This window comes from Homo sapiens, chromosome 1, assembly GCF_000001405.40.
Source record: "Homo sapiens chromosome 1, GRCh38.p14 Primary Assembly".
Taxonomy (NCBI): Eukaryota; Metazoa; Chordata; class Mammalia; order Primates; family Hominidae; genus Homo; species Homo sapiens.
In genome coordinates, this window is record NC_000001.11 from 44706144 (window position 1) to 44718975 (window position 12832).

A 12832-nucleotide genomic window follows, 5' to 3' on the forward strand; every position below is an offset into this window, starting at 1 on the left:
TGCCTCCGAAGATGGCCTGGGTGGTGCTATGCCAGGTGGGCCAGAGCCACAGGGAACCACTTGAGGCTGGAGGCCAATTAGGAGGAATTTGGGGTGGTTCAAATGACAAAATAAGAATGTGCTGGCCCAGCTGGGTACATAGCCCCAGGAAGAGAGCATGGACAGCACAGGGGACTGCCTGGTGAGGAGAATGAAGCAGCTTATGGATGTCAGAGTAGGCAGGGCCCAGGAGACCAGGACAGACAGCCCCAGTAAGCAGGAATGGTCTGGGCATCAGTATAGGGATAGGGACTCCTGTGTCCAGGATGACAGGCTGAGCCCCAGGTTCAGGAAGCCCGGGGAGGAGAGCATAAGGAGCAGCCAGGCACTGAGGTTCACGTACGCAAGTGAGATCCTGGGGAAGATCAACAAAGCTCTGGAGGCCACTTCCAACCTAGGTTATTTTTGAGCAGCAGTGCTTAAACTGAATGTCAGGCATGTTATTCCTTCAGCAACATTGTCGGTTTTGTATTTTTTGACCCCTGCAAGGTCTGTGTGCATATGTGGGCCTTGTATGTTGAGAAATAATGCTATGCTAAAATCTGTTAGCAGCTGGAGCAGAGTGTCCTGGCTGGAGAGGAGTTGCCAGTGAAGGGGTAGAGTGGTACAGGGACCTAAGTAATAGTCAGACCCTGCACCAGAGGGTTGTCACTGGCATTGGAGCAAGGGGATGACCTGGTAGTAGAATCATGTTAGGAAGCTTAATCAAACAATCCCAAAGACTAGATTGGGTAGCACTGACACCTTCCTCTCCCCACCTCACCTCTGTGTGGCAAACTTGCCCACTCCTCCTCATCCGTCCATCACTTCTCAGCTTAAGCATTGACTCCCTAAGCCCTTCCCTGACCCTGCCTTCAACCCCTGCCCAAATGTCAGCCCTTCTTCCTTTGAACCACCCCTGCCCCCACCTCCCCTCCTTTAACCCCCCTCCATCAGAGCACTGTTCTCTCAAATGGTACCTTCCCCTTACATAGACTGTGTGCAATTTCAGCTCAGCCATCATGGCTTTTATCCTTATATCCTCAGCACAGTCCCCAGCATGTTAGGTCCTCATTGCATGTTTGCTGAGTGAGTGAGTGAGTGAGTGAGTGAGTACTGCACATATGCACTGCATTAGTGATTACTCACCTCTATGCCTTTCTCCTCCAGACCTCTGAGCAACTCCAGGGAGGGACTGGGTCTGATTCATCTTTTTCCAACTCAGGACCTGGAACACAATGGGTGCTCAGTAGAAGTCTGTGAAAAAAAAATCTTATTTCTTTTTTGAGGCAGGGTTTCACCCTGTTGCCCAGGCTGGAGCACCGTAGCACAGTCATGGCTCACTCCAGCCTCGACCTCCTAGGCTCAAGTCATCCTCCCACCTAAGCCTCCCAAGTAGCTGGGACTACAGGCACAGCTCACCATGCCCAGTTAATTCTTTGTAAAGATGGGGTCTCCCTATGTTGCCCAGGCTGCCCTCAAACTCCTGGGCTCAAGTGATCCTCCTGCCTCCACATTCCAAAGTGCTGGGATCACAAGCGCAAGCCACTGCACCCAACCAAAACAAAACCTCTTATGCTGATGAAGTCCTCCAGAGTTGTAACTGGCCACAGCTTCTTCCAATATCGGCCTAAGTTAGAGTCCTTCTGCATTTATTCAGTAACAACTAACAGCGTGGAAGAGGCAGTGGGAACGTGACTCTGTGACTGCATTTGGTTTGTTATAGGATCATGTGATAACAATGAAACTACATGCCTCAAGGTAATTTCAGATATACCAGACTCATAACAGGTGCGCACAAAAAAAATGTCTGTTGAATGAATGTATTATTATTTTTTTAACCAGGCGCTTCAAAATAGTCTTCCTATAACTCCAAATGTAGAGAATGCGTATGCAATGATTTCCCACTAGGGAGCACTGTTTCACATGGTCAGAGTAGACGGGAAGTTAAGGGAGAGAAGAAATTCGCACGCCTTCAGTTTCCACTGAAACTCCGCCCGAGGGAGGGAAGGAAAGTTCCTACGGGTCCTACATGTGGTCCTAAACAGTGGGTGACCGGAGAGGATTAGAGAGTAATTTCTTTGAGTTTGAGTATACCAAATTGCAAAACCAGAGTGAGGCCCTAGGATGCTGGCAGCAGTCAGCATGGAGAAGCAGCCTGTGTCCAAGAGGAGCCTGAGTGACTGCGGGGAGAAGAGTTTAGTAGGTGACAGGGACTGATCTCAAAAGGGCAGGGTTGGTTTGTTTCTTTAAACAAATATTTACTGAATATCTGTGATGTGCCAAGAACTGTACCAGACACCGGGGTTTTGTGTTTGCTTGTTTGCACTGAGAAGGGGAAAACTGAATGTCTTGGAAGAAGGGTCAGGGGTGCCCACTCCACTCCCATGTGGCATGTGTGTGGGGCAGAGTGGGAGGTTATTGGCATCCTTCCCTTAGAAAGCTACAGGGAAAGTGGCATCCTCAGGACAACAGGAGGCGGAGGGGCTTAGGGGGCCTGGCGATTGTTTATCTTACAGTGGGTGTCAGTGATGGAGGAAGCTGCTGGTGGTGTCACCTCCTTTTCTATGAAGAACGCTACCTTCCCCCACCAACCTGCCTGACCAGTGAGTCAGGTTAGCCACGTCCTCTGCTCTCCTTCCCATTATGAGAGTGTCCCTGGTTCCTATCACAGGCCCTCTCTTCTGCTTATTCTCTGAAGCACATTCCCTCAAAGACTTCCCTTCTGTAGCTCACCTCTCCCTTTTTCTCTGCTGGACCATCTCCATTGACGTGCAAATATGCTCTCTATCTTCCATTGTTAAAAGAGCCCCTCTTTGAGAATTTATGGATTAAAAGAGACTTAAAAGACATGTACCAAAAAGGTAAAATTATAGCATTTAGGGATGTACACCCCTCCTTGACCCCAAGTTGCCCCCCAGCTATTCATTTCTTTACCATTTCCTTCCTACTTGACCTCCCAGCTGCTTTCGACCCAGTTGATCACTCCCTCACTTTCTTTTGTTGGCTTCTGTGATAGAAGTTTTCCTCCCACCGTCTGGTTTTGCCTTAGTCTCCTTTGCTTGTTTCTCCTGTTTCTCTACCAGACTGTTAGGTCACCCTCTTCCTTCTCATCTCTGTATACTTTTTCCCTAAGTGGTTTCCCATGTGGATGTCTAACAGACATCTTAAATTTATGGCCAGAATTCTTGAGTTTCTTCCCAAAGCCTGTCCTTGTTTTCCCTATCTCAGGCAGGCGCGGTGGCTCACGCCTTTAATCCCAGCACTTTGGGAGGCCAAGGGGGGCGGATCACGAGGTCAGGAGATCGAGACCATCCTGGCTAACACGGTGAAACCCCATCTCTACTAAAAATACAAAAAATTAGCCGGGCGTAGTGGCATGCGCCTGTAGTCCCACCTACACGGGAGGCTGAGGCAGGAGAATAGCTTGAACCCAGGAGGTGGAGGTTGCAGTGAGCTGAAATCATGCCATTGCACTCCAGCCTGGCAACAGAGTGAGACTCCATCTCAGAAAAAAAAAAAAAAATTATCTGAGCATGGTGGCGCGCACCTGTAGTCCCAGCTACTCAGGGAGGCTGAGGCAGGAGAATTGCTTGACCCAGGAGGCGGAGGTTGCAGTGAGCCCAGATCATGCCACTGCACTCCAGCCTGGGTGATAGAGGGAGACTCCATCTCAAAAAAAAAATTGCTGAAAATATGCTAACAAATACGTATAAGAATCAAGTCCATGGTAAAATGGAACTGTTTATGAATTTGGAAAATGGTCATTTGTAGAATACAATTTTTGTCTACTTGACCTAGAACCTGGAATTAACTTGACTTGCTAATCAAATGATCATTTCATATATTAATAGCGAAGTTGAAAGTATGGTTCATCAGCCCCAAAGTACAACAGTGGGGCTTGTAGCTGAGCGAACTCTCGCACTAACACAGTGGAATCCTCTAGAGATGCTAGTGCAGGGAAACAGTGGCCCTAACTGACCAAACCGAACAGACATGGACAAGGCTTTGAATGCGTGACACCTCCTCCCCTGGCCCCCTGAAACCTGGAGAGACTGGTGGTCGCAAGAACCTCATTGTTAGTTTCCTTCGGTTCTTGGCTGTGTAAAGTTACTTAGGTTCCTAATTCTAAGAGGTATGATTGATCTAGAAATTAATCACAGATTGGCCGGGCATGGTGGCTCACACCTGTAATCCCAGCACTTTGGGAGGCCAAGGCAGGTGGATCACGAGGTCAGGAGATCGAGACCATCCTGGCTAACACGGTGAAACCCCGTCTCTACTAAAAATACAAAAAATTAGCCGGGCGTGGTGGTGGGCGCCTGTAGTCTCAGCTACTCGGGAGGCTGAGGCAGGAGAATGGCGTGAACCCAGGAGGTGGAGCTTGCAGTGAGCCGAGATCATGCCACTGCACTCCAGCCTAGGCAACAGAGCAAGACTCCGTCTCAAAAAAAAAAAAAAAAAAAAAGAAAAGAAATTAATCACAGATTTGGTTTACTTCTTTCTTCATAAAAGCACATTTTTTAACTGAGATGACATTCACATAACATAAAATTAACCATTTTAAAGTGAACAATTCAGTGGCATTTAGTATACATTCACAGTGTTGTACAACCACCATCTCTATCTAGTTCCAAAACATTTTCATCCCCCCAAAAGGAAACCCTGAATTCAGCGAGCAGCTATTCCCCTTCCACTCCCTCCAGTCCCTGGGAAGCCCCAATCTTCATTCTGTCTCTATGGATTTACCTATTCCATATATTTCACATAAATGGAATTATACAATACATGACTTTTATGTCTGGCTTCTTCCACTTAGCATAATATTTTCAAGGTTCACCCACATTGTAACATGCATCAGTACTTCATTCCTTTTTGTGGATGAATAATATTCCGTTGTATGTATCTACCACAATTTGTTTATCCATTCATTCATTATTAGACATTCGGGCTATTTCCAGCCTTTGGCTCTTGTGAACCAGTGCTTCTATGAACATCCACATACATGTAATTGAGTACCTGTTTTCAGTTCTTTGGGGTATATTACCTAGGAGTGGAATTGCTGGATCATATGGTAATTCTGTTTAACTCGTTGAGGAACCCACTAAACTGTTTTCCACAGTAGTTGTACCATTTTACATTCCCAGTAGCAGCAATATATGAGGATTCCAATTTCTCCACTTCCTCACCAAACTTGTTATTCTGGGGATTCTTTAATTATAGCCATCTTAGTGGATGCGAAGTGCATTTTCCTAATGAATAAGGATGTTGAACATAGACGTGTTTCATAGACTTGTTGTCCATTTGTATTTCTTCTTTGGAGAAATGTCTATTCAGGTCCTTTTTCCATTTTAAAATTGGTTGTTGGGTTGTAAGAGTTTTTCATATATTCTAGTTTCTGTGCTCATCAAATATATGGTTTCTCCCATTCTGTAGGTTCTTTTCACCTTCTTGATAATGTCCTTTGTTGTTTTCATTTTCAATGATTTAAGTTTCTCATTTATTCATTTACTTATTCAAAAAGAATGGCACTGGGGTGGGCACTGAGAGTATAGTGACAAATGAAACAAGTCCTTGTTCTCACAGAGCTTTGTTACAACAGTGATACTAATGGTAATGTTAACTCATAACTACTACTAGTGACCAACAATGACTGTGTGCCCAGCATTGTTCTAAGCTCTTTTACCATCTCATCTATTCCTCAGAACAACTCTGTGAAGTAGGTACTATTTTCATCCCCAGTTTACAGATGAGGAAACTGAGGCACAAAGCAATTAAATAACCTGTCCACAGTCTCAAAATGATAAATGAGAAAGCTGTAGATCAAACCCAGTCAGTCTGCCTCCTGCGCCCATCCCCTCACCACCACACTATTCTTTCTTCAGTATTAGAACAAGACTTGCCTTGTTTTTACCAGCTTTGAGAAGTAGATAAAAACCCAAGGACACCCTTTTAATCCCAGCACTTTGGGAGCCCGAGGCGGGCAGATCACTTGAGGCCAAGAGTTTGAGACCTGGCTGGGCGCAGGGGCTCTCACCTGTAATCCCAGAACTTTGGGAATCCAAGGCGGGCGGATCACCTGAGGCCAGGAGTTCGAGACCAGCCTGGGCAACAAGGTGAAATCCTCTCTCTACTAAAAATACAAAAATTATCTGGATATGTGGCAGGAGCCTGTAATCCCAGCTACTTGGGAGGTTGAGGTAGGAGAATCACTTGAACCTGGGAGGCAGAGGTTGCAGTGAGCCGAGATCGTGCCACAGCACTCCAGAGTGGGCAACAAGAGTGAAACTCCATGAAACTCTGTCTCTACTAAAACTACAAAAATTAGCTGGGCATGGTGGCTCACACCTGTGGTCCCAGCTACAGGGAACCGCAAAAAAAAAAAAAAAAAAAAAAGGACAGACAACATTGTTAAGATTACAGTAAACCATATTTTTAAAATTATGTTTTCTTAGCTTCATACCCCTCACAGGGTTAAGCAAATACATCAGGATTTCTTCTTTTTTCTTTTTTTTTTTTTGAGATGGAGTCTTGCTCTGTTGCCCAGGCTGGAGTGCAGTGGTGCGATCTTGGCTCACTGGAACCTCTGCCTCCGAGGTTCAAGCGATTCTCCTGCCTCAGCCTCCCAAGAAGCTGGGATTACAGGCATGTGCCACCACGCCCAGCTAATTTTTATAACTTCAGTAGAGACAGGGTTTCACCGTGTTGGTCAGACTGGTCTCAAACTCCTAACCTCAGGTGATATACCCGCCTCAGCCTCCTAAAGTGCTAGGATTACAGGCGTGAGCCACTGCACCACCTGGGTCTCATTTAAAAACTAGTGTTTTTGCCTTACAGAACGTTATGCCTTTGCTTTGCACTTTTTTTTTTTTTAAGACGGAGTCTCGCTCTGTCACCCAGGCTGGAGTGCAATGGCAAGAGCTACTGCGCCCGGCCTTTTTTTTTTTTTTTTTTTTTGAGACAGTCTTGCTTTGTCACCCAGGCTGAAGTGCAGTGGCATGATCTTGGCTCACTGCAACCTACACCTCCTGGATTCAAGCAATTTTCGTGCCTCAGCCTCCCGAGTAGCTGGGACCACAAGCATGCAGCACCATGCCTGGCTAATTTTCATATTTTTAGCGGGGATGGGGTTTCACCATGTTGGCCAGGCTGGTCTCCAACTCCTGGGCTCAAGCGATCCACCTGCCTCGGGCTCCCAAAGTGCTGGGATTACAGGTATGAGTCACTGCACCCGGCCCTGCTTTGTACTTCTCAGCTGACATGGGCAGTAATTTTAGCCTTTCCTGCTGTATAAGAGGCCACCTGTCCTGTACAGCTTCATTGAACAGCAGTCAGAAGGCTCTGACACTGAGGGAGACTTTCACATAAAAACCTGCTATTTTTAAAAGATGCATTACTTCCCCAAAAGTATATGAGCACTTCAACTGTGACACTTTATTCAGCGTTTATAAAAGTCTATAAAACAGTCTTCCAGGGGATTTAAGTGAAAATCTTGGGGGGAAATCTTATTTCTAACTTCCCCATTTGCCTGCCCCTCAAAACATCTGCATCCTGCCCTTGCCTTATACTGCGTCCTTTTTGAGGACACTGGTGCTTGACTCGAGTCTCAGGGATAGTTCAAAACATCAGTACACGGACTGGTTGGGCTGGGTGAAAGCAGATACCAGTGGAAGACACACCATAGTAATTCTTTGTCCAGCAATAAAAATACCACCATAGCACATACATTAGTTACTTTGTTGCCTGGCTTTAAAAACAAAAGGTGTGCATAAAATATATTTTTATTGTTTCAACATTGAGCTTTGAACAGAATGTAGTTAGAGAGGTAGCAGGGGGCCTGACGCAGTGGCTCACGCATGTACCCAGCACTTTGGGAGGCCGGCGGATCACGAGGTCAGGAGATCTAGACCATCTGGCTAACACGATGAAACCCTGTCTCTACTAAAAATACAAAAAAAATTAGCCGGGCGTGGTGGCGGGTGCTTGTAGTCCCAGCTACTTGGGAGGCTGAGGCAGTAGAATGGCGTGAACCTGGGAGGCGGAGCTTGCAGTGAGCCGAGATTGCACCACTGCACTCCAGCCTGGGTGACAGAGCGAGACTCCGTCTCAAAAAAAAGAAAAAAAAAAAAAAGAGGGAGCAGGGGCCAGGCCTGGTGGCTCATGCCTGTAATCTCAGCACTTTGGGAGGCCGAGGCCGGCAGATCACCTGAGGTCGGAAGTTCGAGACCACCCTGACCAACATGGAGAAACCCCTTCTCTACTAAAAATACAAAATTAGCCGGGCGTGGTGGTGCATGCCTGTAATCCCAGCTACTTGGGAGGCTGAGGCAGGAGAATCCCTTGAACCCGGGAGGCGGAGGTTGCGGTGAGCTGAGATCACGCCATTGCACTCCGGCCTGGGCAACAAGAGTGAAACTCCGTCTCAAAAAAAAAAAAAAAGGTAGCAGGGTATACAGAAATCAGAGACAGAATTAATTACAGAATGTCAGGAAGATGGCTGACACTGGTCTCTTCCTTTTTTCTTGAGGCAGGGCCTTGTTCTGTCACCTAGGCTGGAGTGCAGTGGCGCATGCACGGCTCACTGCAGCCTCAACCTCCTGGGCTCAAGTAAGTAGCTGGGACTACAGGCACATGCCACTATGCCTGGCTAATTTTTTTTTTAATTCTTTTTAGAGATGGGATCTCACGATGTTGCCCAACCTGATTTGACTGTCCCCGGCCTTTTTTCTTTTTTTGTTGGGGGGGAAACAGTTTTACTGTTTCCCAGGCTGGAGTTGAGTGGCTTGACAGCTCACTGCAGCCTCAAACTCTTGGGCTCAAGCGATCCTCCCGCCTCAGCCTCTTAAAGTGTTGAGATTGCAGGCATGAGCCACCACGCCTGACTGGTCTGTTTCTTACAGCAGTGCAACATGCTAAACACGTTCATGCTAGTGCCCTGCTGGAAAAGGAAGCAAACCTCGGTAAGGAAGCGCACTTCTCATATGTGTCCAGTAGGTGGCAGGCTTGTCTGGACCTGCAGAGAAAGACCCGGAACCCTGGTTTTGCAAGGCTCTGGGATCAAAGAATTATAAATGATCAGTGCTGTTAGCACCCTGGAAATGGCTGCATGGAATATCCACAGTTCCCAGGTACAATGCCATTTCTATGGCTCCTTCTGCCAAAGGAATACTAAGCCTGCTGCTACAGCCCTGTCTCTTGTTCATTGTGGTTTCCTGGGCAAGTCATTTGTTCTTGGTTTCTTCGTCTATTCAATGAGATGATCAGACCAGTGATCACTGAGGTTTCCTCTAATGCTGATAGGCTGTGGATTCCAAAGTTCCTCTTCGGATTGGAGCAATGAATTTGTCTCCTGCACCATTAAAGAGTTTCCATGGAGTGTGAGTGGCTAGGACCTCACATCTGTTTTTTGTTTTTTTGAGATGGAGTCTCACTCTGTCACCCAGGCTGGAGTGCAGTGGCACAATCTCAGCTCAATGCAACCTCTGCCTCCCGGGTTCAAGCAATTTTCCTACCTCAGCCTCCTGAGTAGCTGGGATTACAGGCGCCCACCATCACACCTGGCTAATTTTTGTATTTTTAGTAAAGACAGGGTTTCACAATGTTGGCCAGGCTGGTCTTCAACTCCTGGCCTCAAGTGATCATCTGCTCGCTTCAGCCTCCCAAAGTGCTGGGATTACAGGCGTGAGCCACTGCACCCAGCCACATCTGTTTCATTTACTGCTGTTTCATCAGCACCAGCACTGCACCTAGCACGTGCTCAATCCCTGTTTGTCAAATGCATGAGCATGGGCCCCACAGAGCATCCTCTCAGCTTCATGGGGCCTGAACTCTCAAACATTCAAACCCTCCTGATGATACCTCCTCCTTGAATACTCTCATCCTCCTTCCCAAACCCATACTCTCCTGGCTTCCTCCTATGGCTCTAGAAACTGCTTCTCGGTCTTTTATACATTCCCATTCCTCTACCAGTCTCCTAGGTGTCAATTTTTTTTTTTCAGCATTCAACTCCAGGTCTTCTTCTCCTTCTTTGCTGTCTATGGCACCTCGTCCGCTCCCACAACTTTAATTACCACGACTTTATGTACCACCTACCACCTTGATGACAGAAACAATAGTCGCTAATCTTTATAGAGTGTTAACTCTATGCTGGATACTGCCCTTGATCTTTACTCATTTACCCCTCACAGCAAGCCAAGGAGGTGGGCACTATTATTTTCCCCATTTTATGGATGGAGGACAGAGTAGTGGAGTGACCTCTCTATAGCTCTAGACCTGTGTGTCCATTTGCCTTCTGAACACCTCCCCTCAGATGTCACCAGTGGACTTCTGATATTCCAGTTCCAAAGCTTTTCTTCTCCAAGGTCCCAATCTCAGTGGAAAGTACCCAGCTGCCCAGGCTAGAAATATTGGTAATTGTCTTGTCTTTTTGCTTCCCACCTTCAACCAACTTCTAACAAGACCAGTCAATTCTAACTCTTCAATATGCAGATGCGTTCCCTCTTCCCCATTCTGTCTCCACTGCTGTAATTCAGGTCTTCATACTGCTCACCTGCACTGGCCTCTACACCAATCTTCATCTGTCCAGTATGGCGCCCACACACAGTTCATTTTCCTAGTCCACCACCAGAGTGGAGGCAGTAGACTTAGTGGTGAAGAATATGGGATTTGGAATCCGAACTATTCTTTTTTCTTTTTTTTTTTTTTTTTGAGACGGAGTCTCACTCTGTAACCTAGGCTGGAGTGCAGTGGCGCGATCTCGGCTCATTGCAACCTCTGCTGCACAGGTAAAAGATATTCTCCTGCCTCAGCCTCCCAAGTAGCTGAGATTACAGGCACCTGCCACTGCGCCCAGCTAATTTTTGTAGTTTTAGTAGAGACGGGGTTTCACCATCTTGGCCAGGCTGGTCGTGAACTCCTGACCTCGTGATCCAACCGCCTTGACCTCCCAAAGTGCTGGGATTACAGGTGTGAGCCACCGCGCCCGGCCTGAAATCAGAACTATTCTTATTAGCTATCTGATCCTGAGCGAGCTACTCAACTTTTTTGAGCCTTCCTTTTCTCTGAAATGAAATGAGAAAAATGCCTGCTGTATCGGGTTGTTGGCACATGCATAGCCCTGCAGAAGCTGGGGCTGGCCTGCCTCCACAGGCTTAGCTCTGATGCATGACCCAGCATCCCTGTTTCCCAGCCAGATCTCCCTTGCCTGGCCACAAATGTGACATGGCACTATCCAACATGGCACTTGCCACATTCTACATTCCAGCCCCTCCCTTCTCCCTATGGTTTTGCCAATTCACGCATCACCGTCTCCAAGGAATCCTTCTCCTGATTCTCCATCCCCTATCATCTCCACTCCATCAACCAACCTGGCTTCCTTTGTGTTCCCATGGCCCTGATAACACTGCCTCATAAATGCCAGTTTCCCTATTGGTATCCCCCACTCAGCTGTGATGTCCCTAAGGCCAGTGATTAGATCTTAGTCCTCTTCATAGCCCTAGCCCAGAGGCCTGGCACAGACAAGATGCTCAATGAGAATTTTGTTAAATAAATGAATGAATCAATGAATAAATCAGTGATTGCTCAGCTTTAGGACATTTGGGTGTTATCAGCACCACAGGCTTTAGGCAAAGCTGCCAAAGATAGTCTTTTGTTGTCCTTTGCTTTCTGAAGGAATTGCCCTTCCTAGTAACTAGCACGATATATAAAGAGTTGTAACTGGCTGTGGTTCCTGTGAAGACATTTGGGCAGAGACCAGTACTTTCACTTTGGGTATAAACAGTGACAGCTGTGAATTTTAAAACTCAGTCAGAAATGATTCAGTGAATAAATCTTCATTTTTCTAAGTAGCTCCAAGTGTTACAAATACATAATTAGCAAAAGATTAAGCATTTAGGTAAAGTGAATAGTCAGAACTAGACATTTGTCTCCTGGAGTATTTGGTTCTACATGGGCAGAAAATGCTATTTGTGGTCAAGAAATTTTCATAAAAATATCTTCACCTGTTCGTTTCTACCCTGAGTGTCCACCAAGTCATGTCTTGCTGCAGGAAGAGCTCTTGGGCACAGGCAGACATTTGCCCAGGATGTCCTGGCATTACGCACTGCCAGCTTGTGCCTGGGAAGAGCCCAGCTACTAATGAGGGACGTGCTGCAGGCGACAAAGCCAAGTGTCATCAGATGCATGAGGGGCCAGACCACTTGGCTCCAAAAAAATGAGCTGCACCAATTCAAGAAGAGGGAAGAAACCAAATGGTAGAACAAGTGAGAAATACTTTGGGGTTTCAGGCAGCAGCCGGTGCAGGCTACGGCTGCCAAGCAGCCAGAGATGTCCGGTCTGCCATTTTGTCCAGATCAGAGAGTGTTTGGGGGAAGCCAGGGAAGCTCAAGTGCTTTGCCCCTTCCCGGGGCTGGTCCCTTTCCCTCCACAATGTTGCTGGGCCTTTGATTCCAAAATAGGACCACATCTGGGCAACCAGAGGCTGCAGAGGGTGGGCAGATGGGATTGCGAGGGCTACCTTAGAAGACTTAGAAGAAAGAGGCAGCCCAGCAGCAGTGGCTGGTTGGTCATAAGAAGCGTTTCTGGGCCGGGCATGGTGGCCCATGCTTGTAATCCCAGCACTTTGGGAGGCCGAGGCAGGCGGATCACCTGAAGTCGGGAGTTCAAGACCAGCCTGACCACCATGGAGAAACCCGTCTCTACTGAAAATACAAAAAATTAGCTGGCCAGTGTGGTGCATGCCTGTAATCCCAGCTACTTGGGAGGCTGAGATAGGAGAATCACTTGAACCTATGAGTCAGAGGTTGCAGTGAGCTAA

At 47.1% G+C, this 12832-nt stretch overlaps 1 protein-coding gene and 1 long non-coding RNA gene across 31 annotated transcripts in view, besides 1 other annotated feature; one reads left to right on the top strand and one right to left on the bottom strand.

Annotated features, from left to right (window-relative positions):
- ARMH1 (armadillo like helical domain containing 1) overlaps positions 1 to 12832 on the top strand; it is a 50878-nt gene that overhangs the window by 31430 nt on the left and 6616 nt on the right. The window contains exon 7 of one of the 27 annotated variants that reach the window (XM_017001145.2): positions 2538 to 3301. The exons of the other annotated variants lie outside the window; for them this stretch is intronic. Coding sequence (XP_016856634.1) covers positions 2538 to 2638 — 101 coding nt within the window. The 3' untranslated portion in view covers positions 2639 to 3301. Of the gene's footprint in view, positions 1 to 2537; positions 3302 to 12832 lie in introns of those variants that run through there. 27 annotated transcript variants of the gene reach the window in all.
- LOC105378690 (uncharacterized) overlaps positions 1 to 12832 on the bottom strand; it is a 36515-nt gene that overhangs the window by 17830 nt on the left and 5853 nt on the right. For all 4 annotated transcript variants that reach the window (XR_007066059.1, XR_001738032.2, XR_947286.4 and 1 more), the window contains one exon: positions 1168 to 1246. This is a non-coding gene — a long non-coding RNA (uncharacterized LOC105378690). The remainder of the gene's footprint in view (positions 1 to 1167; positions 1247 to 12832) is intronic.
- Positions 6935 to 6994: a silencer, noted in NCBI's record as "silent region_815". NCBI's record gives its function as "represses an Ori minimal core promoter by ATAC-STARR-seq in GM12878 lymphoblastoid cells {active_cell/tissue: GM12878}" and the evidence as "EXISTENCE:reporter gene assay evidence [ECO:0000049][PMID:35858748]".